Source organism: Homo sapiens, chromosome 1 (assembly GCF_000001405.40).
Source record: "Homo sapiens chromosome 1, GRCh38.p14 Primary Assembly".
NCBI classification, from domain to species: Eukaryota; Metazoa; Chordata; class Mammalia; order Primates; family Hominidae; genus Homo; species Homo sapiens.
The window spans coordinates 99,002,195-99,029,984 of record NC_000001.11 but is presented as its reverse complement, the minus strand read 5'-3'; the positions used below and the strand labels follow the sequence as shown (position 1 = coordinate 99,029,984).

At 38.0% G+C, this 27,790-nt stretch overlaps 1 protein-coding gene and 1 long non-coding RNA gene across 4 annotated transcripts in view, besides 1 other annotated feature; one reads left to right on the top strand and one right to left on the bottom strand.

Moving 5' to 3' along the window:
- Positions 1-25,709, bottom strand: part of PLPPR5-AS1 (PLPPR5 antisense RNA 1) — a 144,577-nt gene extending 118,868 nt beyond the window's left edge. Inside the window, exon 1 of the long non-coding RNA NR_033940.1 lies at positions 25,340-25,709. This is a non-coding gene — a long non-coding RNA (PLPPR5 antisense RNA 1). The remainder of the gene's footprint in view (positions 1-25,339) is intronic.
- The window catches only part of PLPPR5 (phospholipid phosphatase related 5), a 115,542-nt gene continuing 111,950 nt past the window's right edge, over positions 24,199-27,790 (top strand). For 2 of the 3 annotated variants that reach the window (NM_001010861.3, NM_001037317.2), the window contains exon 1: positions 25,124-25,550. In NM_001010861.3, coding sequence (NP_001010861.1) covers positions 25,314-25,550 — 237 coding nt within the window. In that variant the 5' untranslated portion in view covers positions 25,124-25,313. Of the gene's footprint in view, positions 24,880-25,123; positions 25,551-27,790 lie in introns of those variants that run through there. The other variant, XM_011540838.4, reaches the window with a different exon arrangement.
- Positions 25,292-26,266: an enhancer, noted in NCBI's record as "H3K4me1 hESC enhancer chr1:99469275-99470249 (GRCh37/hg19 assembly coordinates)". NCBI's record gives its function as "activates a minimal SCP1, AML or CMV promoter by ChIP-STARR-seq in primed H9 embryonic stem cells {active_cell/tissue: H9 hESC(primed)}" and the evidence as "EXISTENCE:reporter gene assay evidence [ECO:0000049][PMID:30033119]".

The window sequence follows — 27,790 nt, the reverse complement described above, 5'->3', positions numbered from 1 at the left end:
ATTAGGATAAGAAGTAAACATAGAAAACTATGTGAACACCCAAAAAAAGGGTCCTAATCCTAATGGGAATTATCAGGAAAGGCTTTCAAAAGATTATGATTTATCATGCATATGTGAAAGTGTGTGCCATGGACAGAGACAGATGACCAGAGGGATCAGGAAGAGCCTTTATAGGATACAAAAGTTTGAAATCTTAAAGACAATAGAGGAACGGAAATTTACAAAGAGAAGATCATATTAACAATTCTTATTTAAGCAAGGAAATGACAAAATCTGTTCATATTTTGGAAAGTTCACTCTGAAAGCCATACGGAGAGGAGATTAGAGGGATACAAATCAAGAGCTAGGGCATTTATCAGAGGCTATTGCCTGAAATAGGCAAGAAATGATGAGGCTTGAGTTAAGCTCATGGCAGAGGGAATGAAGAGGAGGGAGAAGATTCCAAAGAGAAAGAAGTTATAATTATTGCACTTGGGACTGATTTAATGTTAGCATAAAAAAGAGGGAAAACAATGAAATAATGTCCAAGATTCCAGTATGATTTCTGGATACACAGTGATGCTACTTACTGCAATAGGTAACAAGAAGAAAAACCAGGTGTGGAGAAGGTGGGAGGCAACTATGGATTTAACTCTGAATATGTTAAGGTTGAGGTACTTTAAGTCATGAAAGTGGAGACATCTGTTAGGCAGGCAGATGTATGGACCCAGAGGGCAGGGAATCATTATAATTGCCTCCTAAATGATCTTGTTTCTGTCTCTGCTCCTCACATCCCTCTGCAACCTGTTCCCCCTACACAGTAAGTTAGATGTTGTCCCTTCCCTATTTCCTAACAATAGCTTCCCATCTCATTCAAAGTGAAAAGCCAAGTCTTGACTATGACCTACAAGGCCAGATATAATCTGCTGCTTTCTGGCTATTTCTGATCTTATCTCTTAGTACTTTCCCTCTTACATACTCCACTCTAGCCACACAGGTGCCTTTATTCTTTTTGAAGCCACGAAAGTTCCTACTTCAGCCAGGCAAGTTCTTTGTTATTTTTCAAGTGAGGCAAGTTCCCACTGCTACACTTGAGGTTTCTTCTTCCTGGAACATTCTTCCTTACAGGTAAACCTGTGGTGGGTTCTTTCACTTCCTATAGATCTTTACTCAAAAGCCACCTTCTTTCTCACTGGGACCATTGTATCTAAAATTGTGTAATTGTATCTAAAATTTCAATTCTTATTTGGCATTTCATCTCTTCATTCTCAGCTTTATTTTTCTCTCCTTTGGACTCATCACTATTTAACCTACACTACGTTGTACTTACACGTCTTGTTTTTTTGCTCAAATGCAAGCTCCCTGGGGCACAAAGATTTTATCTGCTTTGCTTGCTGCTCTATTCACAGTGTCTAGATGAGTGCCTGGCACAAAGTAGGCATGCAATAAACACTTGTAAATAAACGAATGAATGGGAACATCTGCTCATTCATTCATTCAGTAATTATTTCTTGAATATTGTTTCAAGCATTGTTCTAGATTCTGAGAAATAACAAAATAGATCACTTATCTGCCATCATAGAGTTTATTTCCTACTTGAGGAGGGCAAAAATGCCAGATGGTGACAAGCACTATGGAGAGAAACAAAGGAAGCTAAGGAAGCTGGATTTCAGATTCATAAACATAAGATGCTGGAGTCCCACGTGAAAATGAGGGACAATATATAATTTCTGATGTAAGGAAATGCCAACATTTAAGGGATTAATGGAGGAAGGGAAGTCCATGAAGAAATCTGAGAAATGGAAGAAAAGCCAGGACAGGGCAGCCTCAGGGAAGTCAAGGAAGTGAAGAATCTTGAGAAGGAAGGAGTAATTCATAATGTCAAACTTCTAACTCATAGAGGTCAAGTACTATAAAGACAATAATGTGTTTTAAAAAATTGGGCATTTAGGTGAATTTACAAAGATCAGTTTCAATGGACCAGTGAGATCAGAAGCCATATTACCATGAACTAAAATGAGAACGAGATACAAGGAATTCAATTTGGTAGATATGATCCACTCTTCTCAAAAAGTGCTGCTTAAAAAAAAAAAAACAAAGGAAAAAACTAGATATTAAAGGAATAAATGAATTAAGAAGACAGCTAGGGGAACACTTGAAAACTTCATTACAACTGTTTTGAATACAGTCACGAAATTGAAGGCAGTTCTCTCATTCTCTCTTTCTCTCTCTCTCTCACACACACACACACACACTCACACACACTTTGCCCTCAGGAAGCTTGCATTTGAGCACAAAAGACCCATTATAATCTTAATTTTCAAAGGATGGCATTCTCATAAGCTTACATGAAGTTCCTAGAAGCATACAAACTTTATGAAAGCTGGGGCTTGTTTAGTGGTCAGCAAACTGCAGTTTAGCTTTACCCACAGGTTTAATGCAAACATAGGTGAGTCACAAAATGTATATTAACAATAAGAACAATATTATCAGCAACTGAAATAGAATGAGAGCAATAATTTTAGCACTAGCTAAAATAGAATGAATATCTAAACACTATGCTCCACACTGTAAATTTATTTTAGTTCATTTTTGAGATGTGGAAACTGAAGCTCACAGATGTAAATAACTTGTCCAGGGTTACAGGGCTTATAAAAGTAGAGCTGGGAATCAAACCCAGATCTGTTTAATTTCCTTTATGATTCCACTGTACCAGGCTGCCTCAGCTATATAATGCTTTAGTGTCTTACGCTATTGCAACTTGTAGATAAATTCCAAATGGGTGAAAGGCCAGAATGTAATAAATAAAGACATACAAAAACTAGAATGGATACATTAGTACTGGGAAAACTTGCTTGTTTTCAAAATTGAGAAAAATAGAGAAAAGATTTAAAAACATGAGTACATAAAAATGAAATAATTTCAAACTGGGAATATACTTATATTACATGCAGTAACATAATAGCCCTAACATATAAAGAGCCTTGAAAAATAGAAAAGTACCAGCAACTTTATAAAAAACTGAGCTAAACATATGAGCAAGAAAAGAATGCAGTATATTAGTAATCTATTGTCCAGTAGCAAAGTATCCCCAAATTTGGCAGCTAAAAACAATAAATATTTATTATTTTACAGTTTCTATAGGTCACTGATTCAGGCACAGCTTAACTGTGGCTCAGGGTCTCTCACAAGGCTACCATCAAAATGCTGTCATCTTGAGGTCGGACCAAAGAAGAATTTGCTTCCAAATTATATTGTAAATAGTCTATATATCTATAACATATTTTGAAGAAAAAATATAATCCCTAAAACTTAAAAGAAAAATGAAACAAATGAACTTTACTATTTATGAAGTTGATGACATAAGTACATAGGGAGGAATTATTTAAAATAACTTTAATGGCCAGTAATGTCGAGCATTTTTTCATGTGTCTTTTGGCTGCATAAATGTCTTCTTTTGAGAAGTGTCTCTTCATATCCTTCGCCCACTTTTTGATGGGGTTGTTTTTTTTTTGTAAATTTGTTGGAGTTCATTGTAGATTCTGGATATTAGCCCTTTGTCAGATGAGTAGATTGCAAAAATTTTCTCCCATTCTGTAGGTTGCCTGTTCATTCTGATGGTAGTTTCTTTTGCTGTGCAGAAGCTCTTTAGTTTAATTAATCCCATTTGTCAATTTTGGCTTTTGTTGCCATTGCTTTTGGTGTTTTAGACATGAAGTCCTTGCCCATGCCAATGTCCTGAATGATATTGCCTAGGTTTTCTTCTAGGGTTTTTATGGTTTTAGGTCTAACATTATGCAAATCAAAACCACAATGAGATACCATCTCACACCAGTTAGAATGGCAATCATTAAAAAGTTAGGAAACAACAGGTGCTGGAGAGGATGTGGAGAAATAGGAACACTTTTACACTGTTGGTGGGACTGTACACTAGTTCAACCCTTGTGGAAGTCAGTGTGGCGATTCCTCAGGGATCTAGAACTAGAAATACCATTTGACCCAGCCATCCCATTACTGGGTATATATCCAAAGGATTATAAATCATGCTGCTATAAAGACACGTGCACATGTATGTTTATTGTGGCACTATTCACAATAGCAAAGACTTGGAACCAAGCCAAATGTCTGACAATGATAGACTGGATTAAGAAAATGTGGCACATATACACCATGGAATACTATGCAGCCATAAAAAAGGATGAGTTCATGTCCTTTTTGGGATATGGATGAAGCTGGAAACCATCATTCTCAGCAAACTATCACAAGGACAAAAAACCAAACACCGCATGTTCTCACTCATAGGTGGGAATTGAACAATGAGAACACATGGACACAGGAAAGGGAACATCACACACCAGGGCCTGTTGTGGCGTGGGGGGAGGGGGGAGGGGGGAGGGATAGCATTTGGAGATCTACCTAATGTTAAATGAAGAGTTACTGGGTGCAGTACACCAACATGGCACATGTACACATATGTAACTAACCTGCACCTTGTGCACATGTACCCTAAAACTTAAAGTATAATTAAAAAAAAAAAAAAAGAAAATGCCTAAAATTCTCATTACTTATTTAATTGAACAAGTTTTCTCAGGGCTTAAGTCTAAAAAAATTAAAAAGAAGAATAGAATTAAAAAAATAAAATAACTTTAAAACACAGAAATTTATTTGTCTCTGTATTTCTAGTGAAAAATGGCTTAAAACCAACCAAGCAGACAAAACTGCCCCACATCATGGGAAAAAGCACAACAAAGACATTTAACTCTTTTCAATGATTATATTATTTGTGGTAATGTTGATGTTGTTGGTCTGTTATTTGTATGATGTGTGATAAACAGATGCATAATTATGTTGATATCCTTGTGAAGCAGGATTTCCAGCATGATAAAGTACAGATGTAAGATTAAAGAGATTAAGCACAAATCCTGTATTCTTGACTGTGAATTGGAATGTCAGTATAAACTCATGGCATATTTTCTCTGAAAGAAAAAAAATCTAGTTCTTTCTACTGAGAAGAACTGGAAACAATGGCCAGCCAATAGGTAACAACTGGCAACTCTATTGACCAGATTTCAGCCGCTACATAAATACCATTTCCCCCTAAAAGGAACCAAAGCACCTCGGAAAAATAGCTAGTTCTAGTTCTGAGACAAAACATATATAAGATAACTGCTACATCTTATACCAGAAGGAAGCTAATGATGATACTGTGATTACAGTTCTGTGTAAAGGATACAGGAAGCCAATTGAAGAGGCTTCTAGTGGCCAAAAAGTGAATAATTGGAGTATCAAGAATAACAACATAATGAATTGAAATATATCAAATGCCTCTAAGTTCATAGATTTATAACTATAAAATAAATTATATATTAATAATATATAATTAACTATATAATTGATAAGTAATGTAAAATATATTAAATACTAATAATATATTAATTATATTAATATTATATATAACATGCAATATAGTAAAATTTATATATAATGAAATTTATATACAAATATTATATAAAATATATTAATATCCAGATTGTTTACCTTTGCAGGATGCTAGAAACTAACTCACTTTTTATACTACAAGGGAGCTAAAGAAAAATTTATCCTGTTTTTCTACATAAACTCTACTACTGACTAACTAAATAGTTGATTAGGTGAAGTTTCTCCTTATATAGGTACTATAGTTAATAAATGAGGAATGAATGATAAAAATAAAATTTCAACATTTTTCAACCCCTAAAAGAAAAAAACAGATCTAGGAGATAATCATTGATGATGGATAATATCAGTAATAGAGAAAAAAAAAAAAAACCATGTTATTTATTTCCTAATGAAAGTACATACCAATGCCTATGAGGTATTTTTGCAAAAAAAAAAAAAATACAAAAACGCTAGATTAATCTTCTAATACACAGAAATGCAGGGGACCACAGAATATGTCAATCAACCCTATTAGGTTGCAATTATCAAAATCTAGCCTATGGGGACTCTATGGCTCATTTTTAATTTTTTTAAATTTTTATTTCTTTCTGTGACAGGATCTTTCTCTGTTGCCTAGGCCGGAATGTAAATGGCATGATCACAGCTCACTGCAGCCTTAACCTCCCAGACTCAATCAATCCTCCCACCTCAACCTCCCAAGTAGCTGGGACTACAGGCATATGCCACCACACCTGGCCAATTTTTGTATTTATTTTTTATTTTTTTTGTAGAGATGGGGTTTCACCATGTTGCCCCATCTGGTCTTAAAGCCCCTGGGCTCAGGTCATCCACCTGCCTTGGCCCTGCAAAGTGCTGAGATTACAGGCAACTCTATGGTTTAAATGATTAATGTTTAAAATAAATTGCAAGGGAAAAACATATAGGAAGAGGAACCTATAAATTAATATAGAAATTGCAAAATCTGAACCTTATTTGGTTCCTTATTTGAAGAACGTATTAAGAAAAGAGACAATGTGGAAATGTGAATACCGACTGGATATTGAATATTTAATAGTTAACAATCATTATTTTATTTTTATTTTTAAAAAGCATATGTATACATACATATATGCTTACATTGCATATATACTGAATTATTTGTGGATTAATTAATATATACTAAACTATTTGTGGATGAAATGACAGGTTGGGGATTTGCTTCCAAATAATCTGTGGGAAACGGAGAGTGAGAGTAAAGATAAAGCAAGATTGATTACAACATGATGATTATCAAAGGTGGGCAATAAGAACAGGAGAGCTTATTATACGATTCTCTAATTAGATACATTTTTGAAATTTTCCGTGATTTTTTAAGGAGGGTTGTTAAAAATACCGTATCAGTCTATTTCTGAGTTGCTATAAAGAGATACCTGAGCGGGGGTAATGTATAAGGAAAAAAGGCTTATTTTGGCTCACAGTTCTACAGGCTGTACAGGAAGCATGGTGTCAACATCTGCTTCTGGTGAGAGGCTTAGGAAGCTTATTATTATGATGGAAGGCAAAGGGGCACCAGCATATCACACGGCAAAAGAAGGAGCAAGAATATGATGGAGGGAAGTCCTAGACTCTTTTAAACAATCAGATCTTCCATGAATTAACTGAAGGAGAACTCACTTATCACCAAGGGGAAGGTGCTAAACCATTAACGAAGGAGCTGCCCCCATGATCCAATCTCCTCCCACAAGGTCCTACCTCCAATATTGGCAGTCACATTGCAATATGAGATTTGGAAGGGATAAACATCTGAACTAACATCACTTAGTTATGGGATGTCACTGGGATTCTTTTAAAACATTATTTCTGTATTTTTCTAAATGTTCGAAATGTTTTCTAATAATAGTACAAAAAATATGTTGATTAGTACAGTACTTCTCACTTAAGAGACATATAAGTTATAGCTCTTATTATCACGTCCTGAAAGTAACCAGCACCCCTCTATGACTGTTTATTCATTATTTTATGGATTTCAGTCTTTTTATGAATTTTAAGAAACTCATTTTCAATTGAGACTAACTCACTGATTCAGGGGAAATTGTTGAATTATCTTACTCCTTTAATAACTCCATTTTCCTACTTTTAAAAATAAAAACAAATGAAAGTTCATTGTTAATAGAGTTTAGTTTTCTGTGCTTCAAATTACTTGAAGAAAATCATTATTCAATATAAAGATTTTGTATGTAACCAATACGTAACTTACTCTATGATCTAAAAGAAAGATTTTGATAACAGAGCTAAATTATAAAGAGGAAATAGTGTTTGTTTTCAGATAAAGTTACATATAACTTTATCATTAATAAATAAAATGTTTTTATATGTAACTAATCTTGTCAATGATTACATTGCTTTTGCCTTTTGTTTACCGCATATTTCAAACATTTTAACATTTTCTCACCAAAAAAAAAAAGGTAGGGCGCATAACACATTTTTGATTTTCCCTGACAAGTGCTAGACCACATGAAAAACCTTGTGAAATTAATTTTCTCCTTTGTCTTTCTCCTATGCTATGCTGATTTGATGTGCCCCATGACTTAGTTCAGTCTCAAAACACGGCATTGGATCAATCGGTGAAGTTGGCATAACTTTAGTTGCTCTGATATAAGATTCTTTTAAAAGGAGTCACATTCATAAGATATTTTAGCCGCTAAAAAATAAAAATAAAAGTGTGTGTATTCTTGCTATTTTTTCCAAAGGAAAAGGGAATAAAAGGGGTGGTATGGGGAGTAGACGAAGACAAGGGAGTGCAGGACATGTGTCCTGGAGGTGGAACACTTTAGGCCTGTCTTTCATCTTCAGGCATGAGTTACAGGCATGCACCACTATGCCCAATTAATTTTTCAAAAATACTTTTTGTAGAGACAGGGTCTCGTTGTGTTACCCAGACTGGTCTTGAACTCTTGGCCTCAAGAAATCCTCCCACTAGGGCCTCCCAAAGTGCTGGGATTTTAAGCATGAGCCACTGTACCAGGCCTACTGAATAATTTTAAACTAATTACAAAATTAGACATAGCAGATCAGCAAAGGTATAGTAACTATTTCTTTTAGATCGGTGACTAAACAGGAATGTTAATATCGTCTGCCTCCCTACTTAGTCCAAGCTCTGAGATTGAAAGAAACTACTCAAGGAAACAAAATAGATCCGTGGGGCAGACATATATACCCAGAATTGCTGCCTCCCCACAAAAAGAGGGGACATATCTCCGGATCTTTCATCTTTTAAGTAGATAAGATTTGTCTAGTGGAACAAACGTGAACCAATGTATGTCACTGTCCCTCCCAGTTAGGTAAGTCATTGCTCCCACTTGGGCAGAAATGAGGAAGACACACCATGAGTATTACTCTAGTAGAGGTCTCTCCACAAGGAAATATGAAGCTATGTATACATTCACAGTGTAGGATATTCTCCATTTTTATTGTTTTGACCCTCATCTTTATGTAAATACTTTCCAAGTCCATATCTCTAAGTCATTATGTGTGTCTAAACTTTCCAACATTGAAACTGCCTACTCTCTTTCTCTCCATCCCCTGCCCCATGCTCCCCTCTGTTTTGGTCAGCGGCACTATGACTCTCCAGTAATCATTTGCATCATCTTTTATTCATCACTCTTCTTTGTTCTATTGGTTCTTCTTTTAAAACATCTCTCATGTTCCTCCTTTCTCTCCAATTTGTACTTCTGTCATCCTATGCCACTTTTTATTTGTCATGCATTCCTTTAACAGCTATTGATTAAGGACATACCAAATGTCAGAACATTTTTTAGGCAGTGGAGATACAAAAGAAAGGTACATCAATTCATCCTTCATGGGGCTTAGAAAAATGAATGAAGAGTTATCAAATAGTAGCCCAAACAAATGGATAGACTCAACATAGACAACTGCAATGCCTCAAAGACACTTAGTGCTATGTGAGCCTATAATCAGAAGCTTAGGGAGGTGGGAAATGACTTATCTGGGAAGTGACACTCAAGTTGAAATGTAAAGTATGAGTAGGAGTTAATTAGACAAAGAAAGCAGAGAGGAACACTCTAGGTCACACTCCACATGTGCAGATGCCTTATAATTGGAGGTAGCATGGTGAAGAGAGGTTACAAGAAGCTAAGTGCTGATTTGGGAGAACACGGTACAGAGTCAGAAAGCTGGAGAGGTAGGGAGAGGCCATGTAGAGCCTTGTATAACATGTTAAGAAATATTTTCTTTATTTTGAGATAAAAGAAAGTTATCGACATGATTAAACAAAGGGGTAACCTGATCAGATTGAATTTTCAAAAGATCACTTTTGCATTTTTGGATCACTGCCTTTGCTTCCCAATTGATTGTATGTGTGCCTCCTATCCCTTCACCTTGTGAATTATTATACATACCAATGTCCACATAATTGTCACAGGGTGCTGTTTTAATCTTATCTGTTTCCTGATCAAATAGTTTAGATGGCTTCCCATTATTCTTAGGACACAGTCCAAACTATTAGATCTGTTCTACTGAAGCTTGCTAGCATCTGGGTTCAGTCTCCTTGTCGAAAATAATTTCCCACTTCTTCCCAACACTGATTGGTTTGGCTAAGTCAATCTTCCACTTGCCTTGCAAACACATCTATCTCACTTCTGCCTTTCATTTTTTTGTTCAAAGTTTTGAGGTTTTGAAACTCCTGCCAAAATCTTTCCTCTTACTAAAATTCAAACACATTCATGATTCCGCTCAAATCCTCCCTTCTCTGTGAAATGTCCCCTAACCAATCCAGATCATTGTGTGAGGGCACTGCCCCTAAACCCCAACAGTACTTGTATAATTGTCACAAAGCTAAACAAGACTGGGCTTTTCACAGGCATAGTTCTCTTGCGAAATGCAATTTATTTCCTATTTTAGGCACCATCATCTTGGCTTCATATGTCAATTTAGACCTATATTATGACCTTCTTAGCAATATCATTTTGTTATGTTTTTCCACTCTGAATGTGATTTTTTTTCTAAAGAAAGCTTTGGAAAATAGAGAAAAAGTAAAAGAGAATAAAAGTCTAATTCTAATTCTTATAAAGGATTTTCATTCAGTGTTCTTAAAAGTTTTTTGGTAATATTTTTAGTTGCTTCATGATATACTATTCAGTTGCTATTCCACAATTTATTCAACCATGCTCTGTTTCTGGGCATTAAAATTTTTCCATTTCATTATGATGTAAATAATGTGGTTAAACCATAATTTCTTTTCATAGGTCCCAATTATTTTCTTAGGACAGATTTAAAAATATAGACTTACTGGGTCAAGGAGCCAGTTTTTGTCACTTACCACCTAATAGCTTTCCAACAAGGCTGTACTACAAATAGTACATGAAAAATATTCATCTCAGCACATTCTCACTCACATGGGCTTTTATCATTGCATATATCTTTAGTAATCCAATATTTTAAAAGTAATGTAGTGGTAATATTTTGAGTTGAATATCTGTATGTAATGAGGTTTAACATTTGTATATAAATTATCTGAGAGAGTGAATGTTGGGGAAATTACAGCAAGAATGGGTGCAGGACTAGAAGGCTGCAATAGCTAGAAGGCTTTTTATCCTGAGGCTAGATTCTTTGATTTATTCTGCAAATACAAGTGCTGTGCTGGCTCTGTCAGGCACTATACTCTATATCAGATTGGCCATAAAGCAGTGGTTCCCAAATTTCGCTACATATTGAAATCACCTGGGGATTATTAAAAACTGTGACTACCTAGCTCCCACCCACAGACATTCTGATTTAATTGGTATAGGGTGTGACCTGGGCAGCAAGAGTTTTAAGTTTCCCCAGGCAATTTCAATGAGCTGCGAAGTTTGAGAGCCCTGTCAGGGTTAAAAAAGGTGAAGTCACAGAACACAACAAGACAACAACAACCAGTGTTTTGAGAGTCTGTCAGACTTCCTCTCCAGTGGGTTATCTCAGACAGTGACTTTAAACAGTACTGCTTGGATGACTTCAAAATGATAAGACTATGCATTCAGCAAAACGAGACACTGATCATGACCAAATAGCTGTTTACTATCTCAGCCTAAATCTTAGCTTTCATTTGAGAAGCCTGGTAGCCACAGATACATCAAAGGTGACCTCCTCAGTGTCCCTTGTGAATCAGTTGAATGGAGCAGAGCTTTGCCTGAGAGAGTCATTGTTAAAACAGAACTCAGGCGTTTACACAATATGCCTGGTAAAAAATATTGGCATATTGTAAATACGCTTAGTATTTTGATATATGTGATTATGTTAGTCAAAAACAATATATATTTTTTATTTCCTCTGTAAATTACTTATTACAGGGTATATCTCTCCTAGCATAAATATAAAAAGTGTGTGCAAAGATTTATCTATCTTGATTTTTTTGTCAGAACATACATCTCTGGATTTAACACTTGTGAATCAGTTAGGTGGAGAAGGGCTTTGCCTGAAAAGGTCATTGTTAAAACAGAACTCAGGCCTTTACCCAGTATGCCTTGTAAAAATATTAGCATAATGCTGTAAATACACTTAATATTTTGATATATGTGAATTGTGTTTATTAAAAATAATATACACTTTTTAATTTTCCCCGTGAATTACTTATTATAGAGTATATCTCTCCTAGCAAATATGTATAAAGTGTGTGCCAAGATTTTTTATCCATCTCCTTTTGATTTAGTTGTCAGAACATATAACATCTGGTACAGCTAAAGCCCATAGTCTTAGACATTTTTCTTTCATTGCACTCTCAGTCTGCACATCATTAGTACAATTCAGATGGAAATTTCATAGAGATGCAATATTGCTAAAAGATTGTACGTCCCCAGAAAATTTGACCCCCCCAAATTTGATTTATTTAATATATTTGCATTTTAATGGTTTCTCTGAAAGGGCAATCTTCTAATCAAGACGGGCTGCTGTGGTTTTACTGAGTAATTCACAATTTTCAACTCATTTGTATGTGTTTGTTAATATGCGGTATGAATATTTACACAATGTATAAGCACATATGGATTATGTTTACCTGAAATGCATGTTTAAAAATTTGAAAGACTGAGCATTTGGTATTTTGGTTACCTTACAGATGTTAGTCCTTTAGTTAATTATATTCCACTGAGTCAGTCTCCCAATTTCAAGGTTAATAATAACTAACTCCTGTGTGGTACCCTAATGTTTATAGTACTCTTCACATACATGAACTCATTTAATAGCATTCCTGAACCTTTGGGAAGGTTCAATAATCCTAAGAAGCTACAAGTAAACCACTTTAAAGAGCCAGCTCTTCCCCGCAAGCCTCTATCATTAACCTTCAAAGATGCAAGTTCCTAAGCTATTTCTGAATAAGCTGTTAGATTTAGGTAGTGGACATGGTCAGTGGATGTGGTCAGAGGGTGACCTACTATCTGATATGGCCAGATTGAATTCTGGCACTCTCCCCTCTCACCAGCCCCAGCCTCCTGCCAAACTCCACTTTCTAGGTTCGATTGACACAAATGTGTTTTGTTCCCCTCCAATGCCTCTTTCGTAGTCCCCTAGTTCTCCACAGGAATTGGTACAGTCTCCCTAATCACTGAGACAGGGTGCCTATTTGTGCCACCCACTGGCTACCCTGCAAAGGAACTATTGGATTTAAGGACTAAGTTCTCTCCAGCTACTGGATGGGATCTGCTCTTAATGCATTGATTTGTTGTCTGTGGTGTCCACCATACTTCTTAGGATAAACACCATACATACCAATTTCAAAACACTGTTACATGTCAGTCTCCATTATTCGTAAGCATCATGTTTATCATCTGCCAAATGCAGATACCTCAGAATATGTATCTGTCCATATGGGACTAAAGACTCTCACAAAACATGTCACCTTCTGTGTAAAAATAAAACTATAAAAATATTAGAAGCTTAGTATATTGTCACCCTTTCTTCTTTTTCCATGTTTCAGATATTTTTCCTTGATGTTTCTGGTATACAGGTCTATGAATTATAATACACATATAGTTCAGATCATCACCATAACAACCAAGATGCAAGACAGTTCCATCAGTCCAAAGAACTTCCTCGTGATATTCTTTCATGGTCACACCAAAGCCCTGGGAACCACTGATTTGCTCTCTGCCACTACAGATGTGTCTTTTTAAGAATGATATAAAAACAGAACAGTACAGTATATAACCTTTTGAGACTGGCTTCCTTCCTGAAGTATAATGTCTTTGAGATTCATCCAAATTATGGAGTTTTTTTTCTTTTATTGTTCATTAGTATTCTATTATATGGATATATCACAGCTTGTTTACTCAAATATATTGTTGAATACATATAATGGTTTTTTGGAATTGGTATAACATATTAAAAATTGTCAGTATGATGCAATAGAAATACCTTGGGAACTAGCCAGATCTAGATTCAAACATCAATTCTGCTGCTTATGAATTGTGGGCAAGTAGGAAAGTACTCTGACACTCAAAATTTGCAAATCAGGGAGTAATGATATTAATTTCATAGGGTTTTCAAAATAATTAAATAAAATTAAAGCATGTAAAGTGTCTGTCACATAGCAAATAGCCAAACATGTCTATTTTCCCACCCATCTGTCATAAAGTTGAGGTAGCCTGGTATATATGTTTAGAAATTGTTATCATCCTGATTCATAGGTGTGGAAATTCTTAATACTGACTTTTTTATGAATGATTTTGTTAACAGACCAGAGATAATCTATTGTACTATGCATAATAGAGATCTTTGCATATCATAAATTCTTAACAAGTAAGTTTCTTTACAAGTGCAAAACACTAGGTTGCATGACTTTCTAGTACAAGGTTGTCTTATGGAGTGAGTTCCTAGAAGCCAGGAATTTGGTAAATCTGTTTGAAATATAACCAGCAGAACTGGTGACACCATGTAATCTGATGCTGATAAGTGATTGATGCAAATTTTATGTGTTCCTTTTCAGGCAGTCATATCCAACTGGAAAGAGGGAAGCAAAACTTAAGGCAAAAAAGGCTTGGGTGGTCCAGACAGCATTAGGAAAGTCTTCCGATGAAGCTGATTTCTAAGCATCCTTATCTTAGTTGATACTGGACCCCATCGCTTGTCAGTAATTGACTTGTTGCAATTCCTGAAGCATAGCATATGACTTTATCAGTATGAGCAAGAAGATGCAATTAAATTTCTAATCCAAAGTTAAAAAATATGAGTGTGCTTATTCCAAACTCCTCATATTTTGCCATTTCCTACTTCTGGCTATAAGTAAGAGTGACCTTCATTATCAATATTTATAGTATGAAAATCACATTGAAGGGGGTTTTAGTGGAGTTGTTTTGCCAAATAAATCATTAGAGTTATGTGCCATTAATTCAGTTTTAACTTGTGCTTTTTGACTTTTATAATGAGGTAATAAAAATTAACTTTGTCTCACACTTAACTTTAAAGAGTTCAAATCTGTCAGATTGGGAGGCATGATATCATTAAAAGTGAGTACATATGATATATTTCTCAATGTTATAATTTATGAGATCACCTAGATAGTTCAGCAATAAAGCATACCTACATGACCTTGTATAGACTGATGCAATTAAAGTTGTCAGTGAGCAAGTCTTTTTCACCTAAAGAAATGGCAACTTCACATAGTTCAACCTAATAAAACATCCCAAGATGTTGACTTAGGAGAGCTGTGGGTTCTTCTAAGTAGAATTTAGTGTGTAACACCCTCCCAAGTAGAGTCTAAGCTACTCCGGGAGCTGTTATAACCTAAATTGTATCCCCCTAAATTCATGTGTTGAAGACATAAGTTGCAATGTAATGGTATTTGGAGACAGGGTTTTTAAGGAGGTAATTAAGGTTAAATGAGGTAGTAAGGGTGGGGCCCTAATCAGGTTCGACTTGTGTCCTTATGAGAAGCAACACCAGAAATCAATGTCTCTTTGTGCACACACCAGGGGAAGGCCATGTGAGGACAGGGCAAGACGGCAGCCATCCACAAGCCAGCAAGAGAGGCCTCACCAGAAACCAATCCTGATGGGTGTCTTTGTCTTAGACGCCCAGTGTTCACAAATATGAGAGAATAAATTTATATGGTTTACAGTCTGTTGTTATTTTGTTATGGCAGCTCAAGGAGACCCTGATACAGGTGTCTACACCCAATTCTCCTCTAATCTCCTGGTTAGGTAACCAAGACAGATTATCAAATATTAAAGGGATATAGGGGCACCTACTCTTCAAACCTACAGCCTCATCTGCAGGTCCACTGAACACCAAAATGAAAACTCTGTGTCACTCAAGAGCAACTTCCATTTCTATTTCCAAAAGAGTAATTTTATGCTTCTGTAGAATTACAATTATGTTAGGTTTAAAAGTCTGCAGACTCAAGCTTGAAATTTCTTGAGGTCTCTGTACTGCCTGCTGTAACAGCACACGGAAGTCCTGTGCTTATCATGTATTTTGTCCACTTTGTCCCAAATTCACTTTGCCACATCCCTGACATGCCACCATTAGTGACTTATATCCTAAAAGTTAACAGGGCTTAAAAGTGAAACTGCAAATACACCTGTGGCAGATCCCTTTGTAACACAAGTTACAAAGTATATTTGTATATGCTGTCTCATTTATTTCTCTCAACCAAAAACACACATTGTTGTTAGGCCCATTACGCAAACTGAAATTTCCCACATAAACTTTTATTCCTTAACATTTATATTAATCAGGTAGATACATAAAGAAGCTTTTTTTTTTTTTTTCTTTTTTTTTTTTGAGACAGTATCTCACTCTGTCACCCAGGCTGGAATACAGTGGCACGATCATGGCTCACTGCATTCAACCTCCTGGGGCTCAAGGGATTCTCCCGCCTCAGCCTCCAGAGTATCTGAGACTATAGACACACACTTCCATGCTCAGCTAGTTTTTTTTTTTTTTTCTGTAGAAATGAGGTCATGCTATGTTGCCCAGGATGGTATCAAACTCCTGGGCTGAAGTGATCCTTCTTCCTCTGCCTCCCAAAGTGCTGGGACTTCAGGTGTGAGGCACCTCACCTGGCCAAGAAGCAACATTTTACAGTAGAACAACACCTGGACTAAGATTCAGAGAACCTACATATGGGACATGCTTGGAATCCTTTCTCATAAAAAGTCATTTAGATAGAGTTAAATATAATAGATACAGATACACTCAGTCCAAAGAACTAAGCTACTTGATAATGATAAAAACATGACTTTGTCTTGCTGAAAATAGTAATAGTAATAAAGTAAACTGGAAATTAGAAAACCAAGAGGTTCTCTTCCTTGCTCTGTAGTTACATGACCTCAGACAATTAGTTAATTACTTTGGGACTGGTTTCTTTGTTTAAGATGAATGGGATTCAAATTGTAGCCCAATCCAAGGTTCACTTCTGGCTCTTCTTGTCTTTGAGAATGATAACAGATTTAGGAAAAACAGACCTTCCTTCATGCTCTGTCTAGTTTCCTAATCATCTGCTTTGAATGAGGTATTTTGTCATGAAGAATGAAAAGGTGGACGAACTGCAATTGTCTCAAGGGCGTTTTTCCATAAAAATTTCAGATGATTTTCAGAATGCTATTTTGGTGATGGTGAAAACCCTGCCCTAAATTTCATCACACTTGCATGGATTACCAAATTATGAGGCTATATTCTCCCCAAGAGTTTACAACTATAAGCAAGGAATATAATTTTCATTAAGGAAAGAAAATAATTGTCGAATTGGAAGATACTAAGTCATGGAAAATTTTAACTTTAAAAATATAATTATTGGCCGGGTGCAGTGGCTCATGCCTGTAATCCCAGCACTTAAGGAGGCCGAGGTGGGTGGATCACCTGAGATCAGGAGTTCAAGACCAGCCCGGCCAACCTGGTGAAACCCATCTCTAATAAAGAATACAAAAAAAAAAAAAAATTAGCCAGGCATGGTGGTGTGTGCCTGTAATCCCAGGTACTCAGGAGGCTGAGGCAGGAGAATCACTTGAACCCGGGAGGTGGGGGTTGCAGTCAGCCAAGATCACGCCACTGCACTCCATCCTGGGCGATAAGAGCAAAACTCCATCTCAAAAGAAAATATATAGATATAATTATTTAGGCCAGGTGCAGTGGCTCACACTTGTAATCCTAGCACTTTGTGAGGCCAAGGCAGGAGGATAGCTTGAACTCAGGAGCTCAAGAACAGCCTAGGCAACATAGTGAGATGTCCTCTCTACAAAAAAGTCAAAAAATAAGCCAGGCATAGTGGTGCACACCTGCTACTAGCTACTTAGGAGGCAGAAGTAGGAAGATGGCTTGGGCCCAGGAGGTCAAGTCTGCAGTGAGCCATGATCACACCACTGCACTCCAGCCTAGGTTACAGAGTAAGACTTTGTCCCAAAATAATAATAATTAATAATAGGTATTTATATACTGTACCACTATGAAATTAAACAAAGTCATTTTGAAAGAAAGTTGGGGAAAATATTTGGAAGAGAAGCATATCACTGTGAATATTGTTTTGTTTACTTTTCTGAGTATCACTGTTATTGTATCAGTATTTCTAAAGACATTTCATTATATCAATCAACCATTATAACCAATGCCTTAATGTGTAATGATGCCGTACATGTTCAATTAATGGAGAAGTACAAAATATTTCCACTTGTTTAGTCACTGATGACTTGCTTTAATACATCTTTAGGCTAATATAGATCTCTAATAAAGATAGAAGAACATGAATAGTGAAAACTCAGTTAACTTCATAAAAGAGGGTATCCTGGGGAACTACAGCTTTTATTAATAGAAACCCTCTTTTTTTGTCAGAACTCTTAAATTAGTAATCAAAACATGCTGAATATACTGCATTTATCTTTGATGATCTGACACAGGGGTCATTATTTTAATGTTCAGTTCTTACTGTTCATTACTGTAGCAGAACAAGATGTAGAAGATTGAATTTTTTAAGTGCTGATGGCAGGGTAAACTCTGGACATTTTGTAAAAAAGTGCCTGAAATATGTTTGTTTGGTTTTTTTTGAAACAACAACAAGACTATTTATTTAGTGACTACTATACGTCAGAAAGGGGGGGGTGCCATTTTACTCACAGATTTCTGATCCTCACAACTATCTCCACTTTACTGAAGAGGTGTAACAGCATTAGTTTTGGTTTACTTCTCTTTCAAAAAGTGGTGTGCAGAATACTATTATGTTCTCCATTTAATTGAGGCTTCCAGTGTGGCAGGGGGTCCAGTTATGAATAAATCAGGTTTTCGTTAATCAAGATTATGAACCTTGATTTGTTCATCTGCTCTTGATCCCAATTTTTAAAGATGAAAATTAATAGTTGATTATGGTCCAAGTATTAACATAAAGAATGATTTTGAGTGCCTAGTTTCTGTCATATTTTTATTTCAGTCATTTACCTAGTACAGGACACTGAAGGACAACCAGGCAAATGCTGATTAGCATTCATAGTCTGTAGCTTTGACAAAGAACCTGCAGCTGTCATCAGCTTAGTTGCCCCATGTGTTCTGTATCAGTGCTAAAGAACCTTTGTTTCTCAAAGTATTAACAGGACTTGTGATTTAGTTTAGAGTGGTCCTCATTTATCATAACACAAATAATGACTTTCAAGTGTCTTTAAGAAACATGAAGTTACAAAAACACTTCTGTAGGAATGCTGCCACAATTCCAAATGGATCAATGAAAGTTTTGCTGATTCAGCAGTGGCAGAATTATACCAGTGTAGGTGATGAATAACAATCACAGTAATGATCGTGGCTATCATGAATGGCCTAGGCTCTGTAAGGCACTTCGGTGAAGTAGGAAACATTATCCTCATTTTAGGATACTGTAGACACTGAGAAACTGAAATGACCTGGTCAAGCCCCACCATCATGATTCTACAGTGCAAAGATACAAACTCTGATCTGTTGAATCCCCAATCCTTGCATTTAACCACCATATTTCACAGACACACTCTTATGTACTTTTCTTAGTAATTGTTATAGTTATTCTCAGGGAATTTGAATATTTTGAAACGTCCTCTGATTTTATAGACTCATGGATTTATACTTAACAATGTGTATTTTTATGATTAACACATATAGTAAACAATCCAATATTCACAGATGTGAAAACAGACCAGGCAGTGATGAATCTGAGTTTTTGTGAGTTGGAACCCAGTGATGGGAAGAAAACCCGGGACCTACTTAGATTAGTCATTCTCTTTTCCTGATCACATATTTTCTAATGCAGATTTTCCCAATGCTTTACTATTTATGAAGCATTTTATAAATATAAGCCTTTTCAACATCTTTGCATAGTTAAGATTCATTCACCCAATTTTAGAGATGAGCAAACTGAGACTCAGAGAGACTAAGTAATTGCCAGGTTTACACAGTAAACATTATCAGCATGTTCCAATTAACTTTTGCTAACTTAATAATTTAAAAATGTTATGTTCACATAAGAGTGTCCCCTTACATATTAGTTAAGTATTTCATTTCTTTCCCAGCCTTAATATTTTATTTTATTTTAGCTCTTTTCACCTGGTCCATTAATTTCACATCTGTACCTTCGGTGAAATATAACTAGATTCTCTAATAAAATATACGTTCTGTTTGTGATAACTGTGTTAAAAGTGAAAACTTAAAATACTGGAAATGTAGAACAGAATAAGCTATAATACAGTCGCAGAGTAAGGCATTTTAAAGACATCTCAGCGGTCCCAAGATAAATACGACTTGTCCAGGTCAGATGCATCTGGCCTTTGAGATAAATATCCCATAACAACTGGAAACTCAAAGACAGACACTCCAATTACTACCCTAGCTGTTTTTCTTCCTGTTTGCTTAAGAAAGCAGCTACAACCTAAATTAAGCACTGGAAATCATTTTGTGAGGATATAGTACCGTATGATGTCAATATGAAGAGGTCAAGGGTGTAATCCCAAATGTTCCTACCTTTTCAAATTTGCCTTTCAGAATTTTGTATCTTTGAATTTATGTGAATGTCTTTAAGCACACATTTCTTGAGTTAACCAGATTCTACATCTTATTTCTCTTATTCAAGCTTCAGGGGCATTCCTCACATCAAGTAGTCTGGGAGTTAGTAGACTAGTGTATTTGTTCATTCTCCAGATTCAGTCCAGTAAAAAGCTGCTAGATACTGCCTTTTGTAGGCTTTTAAATAATTTTAGAATAAAATACCAGATACTCTTACTTATTCTGAAAGCAGTTACCTGGTCTATTAAAAATATCTCTTTCCAAATTTTCCCCTATGAGATCTTCCACCAATCTATATGTTAATATTTGAAGTTCCTCATTAGTTCATACTCATCTAACTTTGTGCACCCTTGAATCTCCTTAACTATCTCTAGCTCAGGTTTGACATTATGAATACAGGTTTTGTTGCTGTTGTTGTTGTTGTTTAAAGGAGAAATCTATTCTTTTGGAGATGCTTCCCGTTTGTCTTATGTAAAACTGTCTCAATCCTTCATATTACACCATCTCAGCTAAAATTTTTTTCTCTGTTTTTGCATATGGAATGAGAACATTTCAGGAAAATGGCTTGGCTTATGTACTATTTACCCGAAACACATGGAAATCAACATTTAACATTCTGTATTTTTTTTTTGGAAATGCTCAGGTATGTCTTTGCCAACAACATTATGTCTATAAACCAATGAAGGTCAAATCCTTGGCCCTTAGAGGAAAATCTCAATCTAGCTCTCTCAACAATAAAAGATTTGTTGTATAGAACCAAACTGATAATAATCTTGAGGAGCCAGGTACAGATGTACTGTACTTTTCTAGCAGACACCTTAGGTTTTCGAAGTTAAATAGGAAGAATACACTCACTTATCTAAGCCATCCACAAATATTCAATGCTCGCCCATTCAAGGACTATCCTCTATCCTACGAAGATAGAGGTCTCCTCCACCTTGACTTTTTGTACATCCATCTTCTGTCTGTGAAAGAAGAATTATAAACCTTATGGATGAGGACTATATCTTCCCATGCTAGTTGAGCACCTTACTAGTTTTTTTTTTTTTTTTTAGTTGCTGTTCATCAGTTTATTATCTATATCTGAAAAATCATCATAGAAAATTGTTTGGTTTGGCTCTCAGCAGCCCGCTCCTAAGCTCTGAGGAAGCTTGCCTTCTTTTGAGCTACCCAATCCTTCTTCTGAGCAAGGGACATTTTGGAACGGTTCCACCTCTTCTTTTTAACTTCTTTCTTGGGCTTCTTTTCATAGACCGGATTCTCTGGTACAGCAGCATGAGCTTTCTTATACATCTCCTCCATCATGTCTGGAGTTACACTGTTCTTTATGTATTGAGAGAACTGTTTCTTGTAAGCATCTTCATCTTCTTCCAAGAGCATACAGTATTGGGGTGGAGAGAGGTATTGGAATTGATAAATGTTTCTCCCAAGATTTGTCTTAACATTTACCATGGTTCATGTTTTATGGCGGAGAAACAAAGTGGGAGTGGGAGTGGTTAAGTCATGCACATCTAACTATAATATGAATGATGAGAAATTGGAAAATAAAAGTTATGAATTCCACATTTTTAATCTAGATTATTCACGTTGGTAGCAGCTGAGATAGGGACAGTTTGAAGGACAAGACAGTGTTTTGCTAAGACTGACAGCTATAATACATTTGAAAGCACAATGATGTGCCTAAGAATGAAATTAAGGATTCAGGCAGGATTGTAAAGGATTAAATATCAGTAGTGCTGTTTTTCATCTAGAAAGAGCCAGAAACTTAAGTAAAAATTGAGGCAGGATTCCAAGGGATTCTTTGCAGTTGGAAAGATATATTTTGGAAAAGAATTAGCTTAAGTGACTTAATAGAAAATAAAGTGAAGAAACATCTAAATAAGTGCCTACTTTGGACCAGGTAGCTCACATATTCTCATTTAATTGCCAAAATAAACCCAAACGTTAAAAAAATTACTTCATTTTGCCCCCGAAGCAGCTCAGGCTTAGGAAGGTAAAGGAATTAGCCCAAGGGCACATAACTCATGCTCTTTCATCCACCCTGAACCACTTCTATGAATACCTAGTCTGCTCAAATATTCATGGAAGGTGAATTTAATACTGGTATCCTTATAACATGTGTTAAGATTCAATATTAACTTTGAATTTCAGCACTGGATTGTTATCCAACCATGAATCAGTCAACGACATTCTTTCACCATCTAAAACAGACAAATAATGGGGGATATTAGAATTCTGAAGGAATATAATATCTTATTCCTGAGATGGATAGCATTTAAAGGAGAAGACAGAAGGTGCACAAATCTATAAAAATATTTGCACACTTACAAAAATATGGGTTCAACCAGAATCATTCTGTAAGCAATAAAATGAGAAGAAAGTGACTGGTGATGGCTGTTGAAATGCCCTGAGTTACTTAAGGTAGGTTAGATACATTTATGTAGAAATTAAATTTTACAAAATGTGCCAGACATAATAAGCTTAGCATCATTTAATCATTATAGCCACCTTGTAAATTAGGTACTAGTATTATCTCAATTTTACTGGTGATGAAACTAAGGCAGAAAGAGTTCGGACATCATGCCCAGGCTTCCAGAGGTGGTAAGTGGCAGAGCTAGCATTTGCACTGAGGCAATACCAGAGTCACTGCTCTTATGCTGAACTTACACCTTTTACTTCAGTGTGACCATGTAAGTATGTGGGCTGTGTTTATCCGGATTCTGACTCCTTAACCCTTGACAAATTTTGTACGTGAAAACAGTTTCCCATTGTACTTAGAGGAGTCAGTTCGTTTATTTACTCGACAAATTTTTCTTAAGTAACCATAATGTGCAATACAGTGCAGTGCTCATGCTGGGGACACAGCAGTGAACAGGTCAGACAAGGACTCTGCTGTGTTGCATGTACTGTGCTGGGCACTCCATACACATTAACAACGCAATACAATGAGTCTTAATTGTGAAAATAATGCTCACTTTCATTAGACTGAAGAAATGAGTTGCCCTTAAAAATTAACATCATTCTTCCAAAAATTGGAAAAATGTCTATAAACAAGACTTCAGGGGCATTCCTCAGCGAATGAGATAGTTTGGGGGGATTCCTACTTAGAACCAGAGTACCAGTTTAAATACCCTTACAGTCTCAGAATGATTTTCTTAATGAAGCCTTAAAACATGTATCTTTGTAGTAGTTATATTTTCATAATATAAGCTGCTCATGTCCATTTTGGAACAGCTTACTCCCACTGCCCAAAACTGCTTGTTATACACATTGCTTAGTGTTGTCTATCTTGTAGCTCTAAGTAATTAGTTGTGGAATTATGTTTACGACAATGCGGAGGGTGAGGTATGTATGATACTACATTAAAGAAACTCACACTGCCTTTACTATCCCATCCCAAAACTACCAATCATTTGCCAAATTTCAACAGATTTTTAAGCCAACAGTGTTTTGTTTTGTTTTTCCTGATGATAAAGGCCCACCTCTAAAATTCATCAAGCTACAGCCTATTACAATGAACCAACATTCTAGAACCCTGCTAAGGTGATTCCAGGTTTTAATGAGCAGGGCAGGGCTCTAAAAATATTTTCCTCCTCTTGCTTGTATTCATGCTTCCTCACCTGCTCACTGGAGTAGAGGAGTGTCAGCCTGAGGCTCAAAGAAAGACCCCTTGAGAGTCTGCTGACTAAGCTTGCAGCAGGGACCCACATGGCATGACAGAACGGGCTCCTTGCACATATGCAGTTCCATAGTTAGTTACATACCCACGCATAGGCGTGGATAGCCATGGACGGATGAATTTTTGTATGCATGTGCTGTGAGCCAGCATTGGTCTCCCTCTCCTTTATCCCGACCCCTGAGGAATCCCTGCAGTTCCCTGGAATTCAGGGAATAAAGAACGAGATGAGGCAAATAGTCCTTTTTCCTACCCTGGTGGCTGGGACCGCTCAGTGCCTGGAATCTGCAATGCCTCCTCTCACAAGCAGCTAATAAAGACAGACTGAAAAGATGAGCAAGAGAATGCATGGATCCAGGAAGGGGCCGCTGTACAAGAGATGATGCTTCGGGAGCTACTGGGCTATGATTTCTATTATTATTTGTATATACATATATATATACACAAAGCCCTAGGAAGCTGCAGAGGAGGCAAAGAAACCTCGCTGAGATTTTTCTAACAGCGCCTAGAAACCACCGCCAGGCTCCAGCCCCGGGCTGGGTCAAGGAATTCGAGGGATGCAGGCTGAACGCACCGGTTGAAACTCTGGGCGCCGCATCGGCACTTTGCGCCTTGGTGGGCTTTGCGCTCGGAAGACGCGTCCACGCACCATTTTCCCAGGCGTTGTGCGGGTTTCTTAAACCTCTCAGCTGGTGCCTCGGAAGAGTTTCTGGAAGCTCCATCTCTACTGCCTCCCCTCCCCCCCTTTTGATTTTACCCCCGCCAGGAGCTTCTCCAGCCCCACAGCGTCCGCCCTGTGAGGGGTACAGGTGCCGCTGTCCCGCCGGCTGCCGCCCCGTCCGCCCACGCAGCGCCTCCTCCGGGCTAGCCTGGGGGATTGACCCAGCGCCGCTGCTTCTCGAATGGTCTCGTGCAGGGGCGCAGCGGCCGCTGCCCGTCGCCCGGGACTCCCCGCCCTCCCTCGCGACCCCGCGCCGGGGCGGGCGGCGCTTGCGGCGGGCAGGGGGCGGGCAGGGGAGAGGGGGCTCGTCCGGGGGTAGCCGCCTCCTCTGCAGCCTGCCGGCGCCTCGAAGCCCGGACCTGCCTCCGCCTCTTCCTCCAGCGGCTCCATCCCGCCTCCCGTGCCTCGTCCTCCCGCCGCCTCCGCCGCCGCGCCCCCGGTGGCTGCCTCGGCGGACCGGGGAGGGGGCCCACCGCGTCGACCGCCCGCTCGGCTCGGCTCGGCCCGGCCCGGGAGGCGTGCATGCCCCTGCTGCCCGCGGCGCTCACCAGCAGCATGCTCTATTTCCAGATGGTGATCATGGCAGGGACGGTGATGCTGGCGTACTACTTCGAGTATACGGACACGTTCACCGTGAACGTGCAGGGCTTCTTCTGCCACGACAGCGCCTACCGCAAACCCTACCCGGGCCCGGAGGACAGCAGCGCCGTGCCCCCCGTGCTCCTCTACTCGCTGGCCGCCGGGGTCCCCGTGCTCGTGGTAAGCCCGGGGGCGCTCGCCCTCGTCGCCGAGTCCCTGATCTCGCCCCTCGCCTTCGGGGTTGAGGCCCCTCTAAGGGTTGGGGCGCAGTAGGTTTTGCCTTCTAAGTTCCTCCAAGTTATGGGCAGCCCCTTCCCCAGAGGACATTCTAGGGCGCGTGAGGGTGGGTGCGAAGGAAGCCCCCAGCTCTTCCCACACGTCACCCCCCCACACCCCGCGGTGGCTTCAGCGTTGGGTGACTGGGCGGGGATGGAAGGGAAGAGGGGCCGTAGGTGGTGAGGAGTGGGGATCCGGGTTGCAAAGGAGGTGAGCTTTGGGGGTGAACCTTGATTCCATCCACTCTGTGGCCTTGACTCGCTCACTGCCTCCTCTTCGATTGTGCCTGGAAGAAGAGCAGCGGCGGGCGGGCCGGCGAGGAGAGAGGGGATCAATTGCTGGGGTGTGAAAGGGACTCCCACTTCCCGAGTCGGGGCACGTATTTCTATTTCGCCACCTCCCTCCTTTTCAGGTGAAAGTGCCAATGGGACTAAGCTGACCAGGGAACAAATATCTGAAAAAAGAATTTGAGAATTTCTAAATGAAGAGGCCTCAGCACCAGTGCTTTGCTGAAAAGCAGGAGCTGTACCTCAATTACAAGAGCACTTCAGATTTATTTAAAGGCTGCTCCGCTCCCTGGGCAATTTAAGTCCTTTTCTCTTAGAACCTCACAGAGCATGCCTTTTGGATTTATTGAGTGTATGTGTGTGTGAGAGAAAGAATGACTATACAGATACACTCACGTGTATACACACACCTCACATATATACATATGAAATTATTGGGGATAAATTACACATAATAATATTAATTTTATTATAGTAATTTACATATGTGAATATGCTACATATTTATTCTTAGGAGAATTGTTGGTGTTTCTTTAGAAAACCTGATATTTTATGGTTCCTTTAATATTGACAAAGTATTGGAGGTTCCCTTCCTGTGATGCGCGCTCTCTCTCTCCCTCAACAGATAACAAACGGGAAATAAGAAAATGAAGGGGAAAGGAAGAATGAAGTTTTATTTTCAGTAGCTAAATGTGTAAATTGAATGTTAAGAATGTCTGTTGAATCCATTAAGTTTGGATGTTCATCTTTTTTTTTAATTTTAGGAGCAATGACTTACTAATTTGTAAAATAATGAAAAGTTCCTAACACATAAGATAGAAATCAGTGAACAAATCAAGTAATTTCTTGATAACCTTAAAGTAACTTTATCACATGTCCTGTGATAGTTGACTTCAAATTGCCTCTGTCATAATGGTTTGAAATGTGTTAGACCTTGCCCCAGATAATGTTTTACATATATATATATATATATATATATATATATATATATATATGTAAAATAAGTTGCTAAAATGTGTTAGAAGCCCCAAATCCAGCCTTCATGTTTGTGTTCTCTTTTCTCCATTTGACAAGCTGGCAGAGAAAAAAAAAAAGGTCGATTTTTGGGGGCCCTTTTTACTTTCTGGAGATCGGGGTTTCCCATGTACAGTTTTCCAGGAGACTAAATAGCTCAGATATTTTTCAAGGATTGTTTTAAAGAAAAAGGAAGAGCCTGTCACTTTCAGCTCATTGGTTTGGTCATAGCTATAATCAATAATGTCTGTAACTCATCCTTTAATTCCCATTCTATGTCTTATTTAAATAAGATAGCACTTTTCAGTCCTAACCATCCAATCATGGTGGCAGGTGCTAGTTAGAGACGAGAGCACACTCACCCAATGATTTGGATGATTCTCCACTTAGGAGGAATGTAGGACGGAGAAAAAGAATGAATTAGTCACTATTTAGTGCCTACTCTATTTTGGGTACCGAATAGTCATAGTCACGTATATTTCTCAGAGCAGCTCTTTCAGGAGATATTATCTCCAATTAATATTTGAAGAAAGTGAGGTTCAGATAATAAGGAATATCTGAAAACAAAAAAAAAGGTGGGTATGGCATTTGTATGCCTATAGGACGGATGCCTGAATGCCATGCGACTTACATTGCTTCCAAAGAGCTTGTTCTCTGAAAGAAGGTGGAAGCTGGCTGGTCAGGCAGGCATTGAGAATATAAGTGGATAGATTTTTCTGAAGTCAGAATCCAACTTGATTTCGATGTTTTGGCTTTTAGTTCTTTTAGGTACAAGAGAATGGGTTTGGGAATCAGTTTAGAAGAGAAGGAAGTGGTAGGTTTGGGAGGATGGCTGTGCTGCTG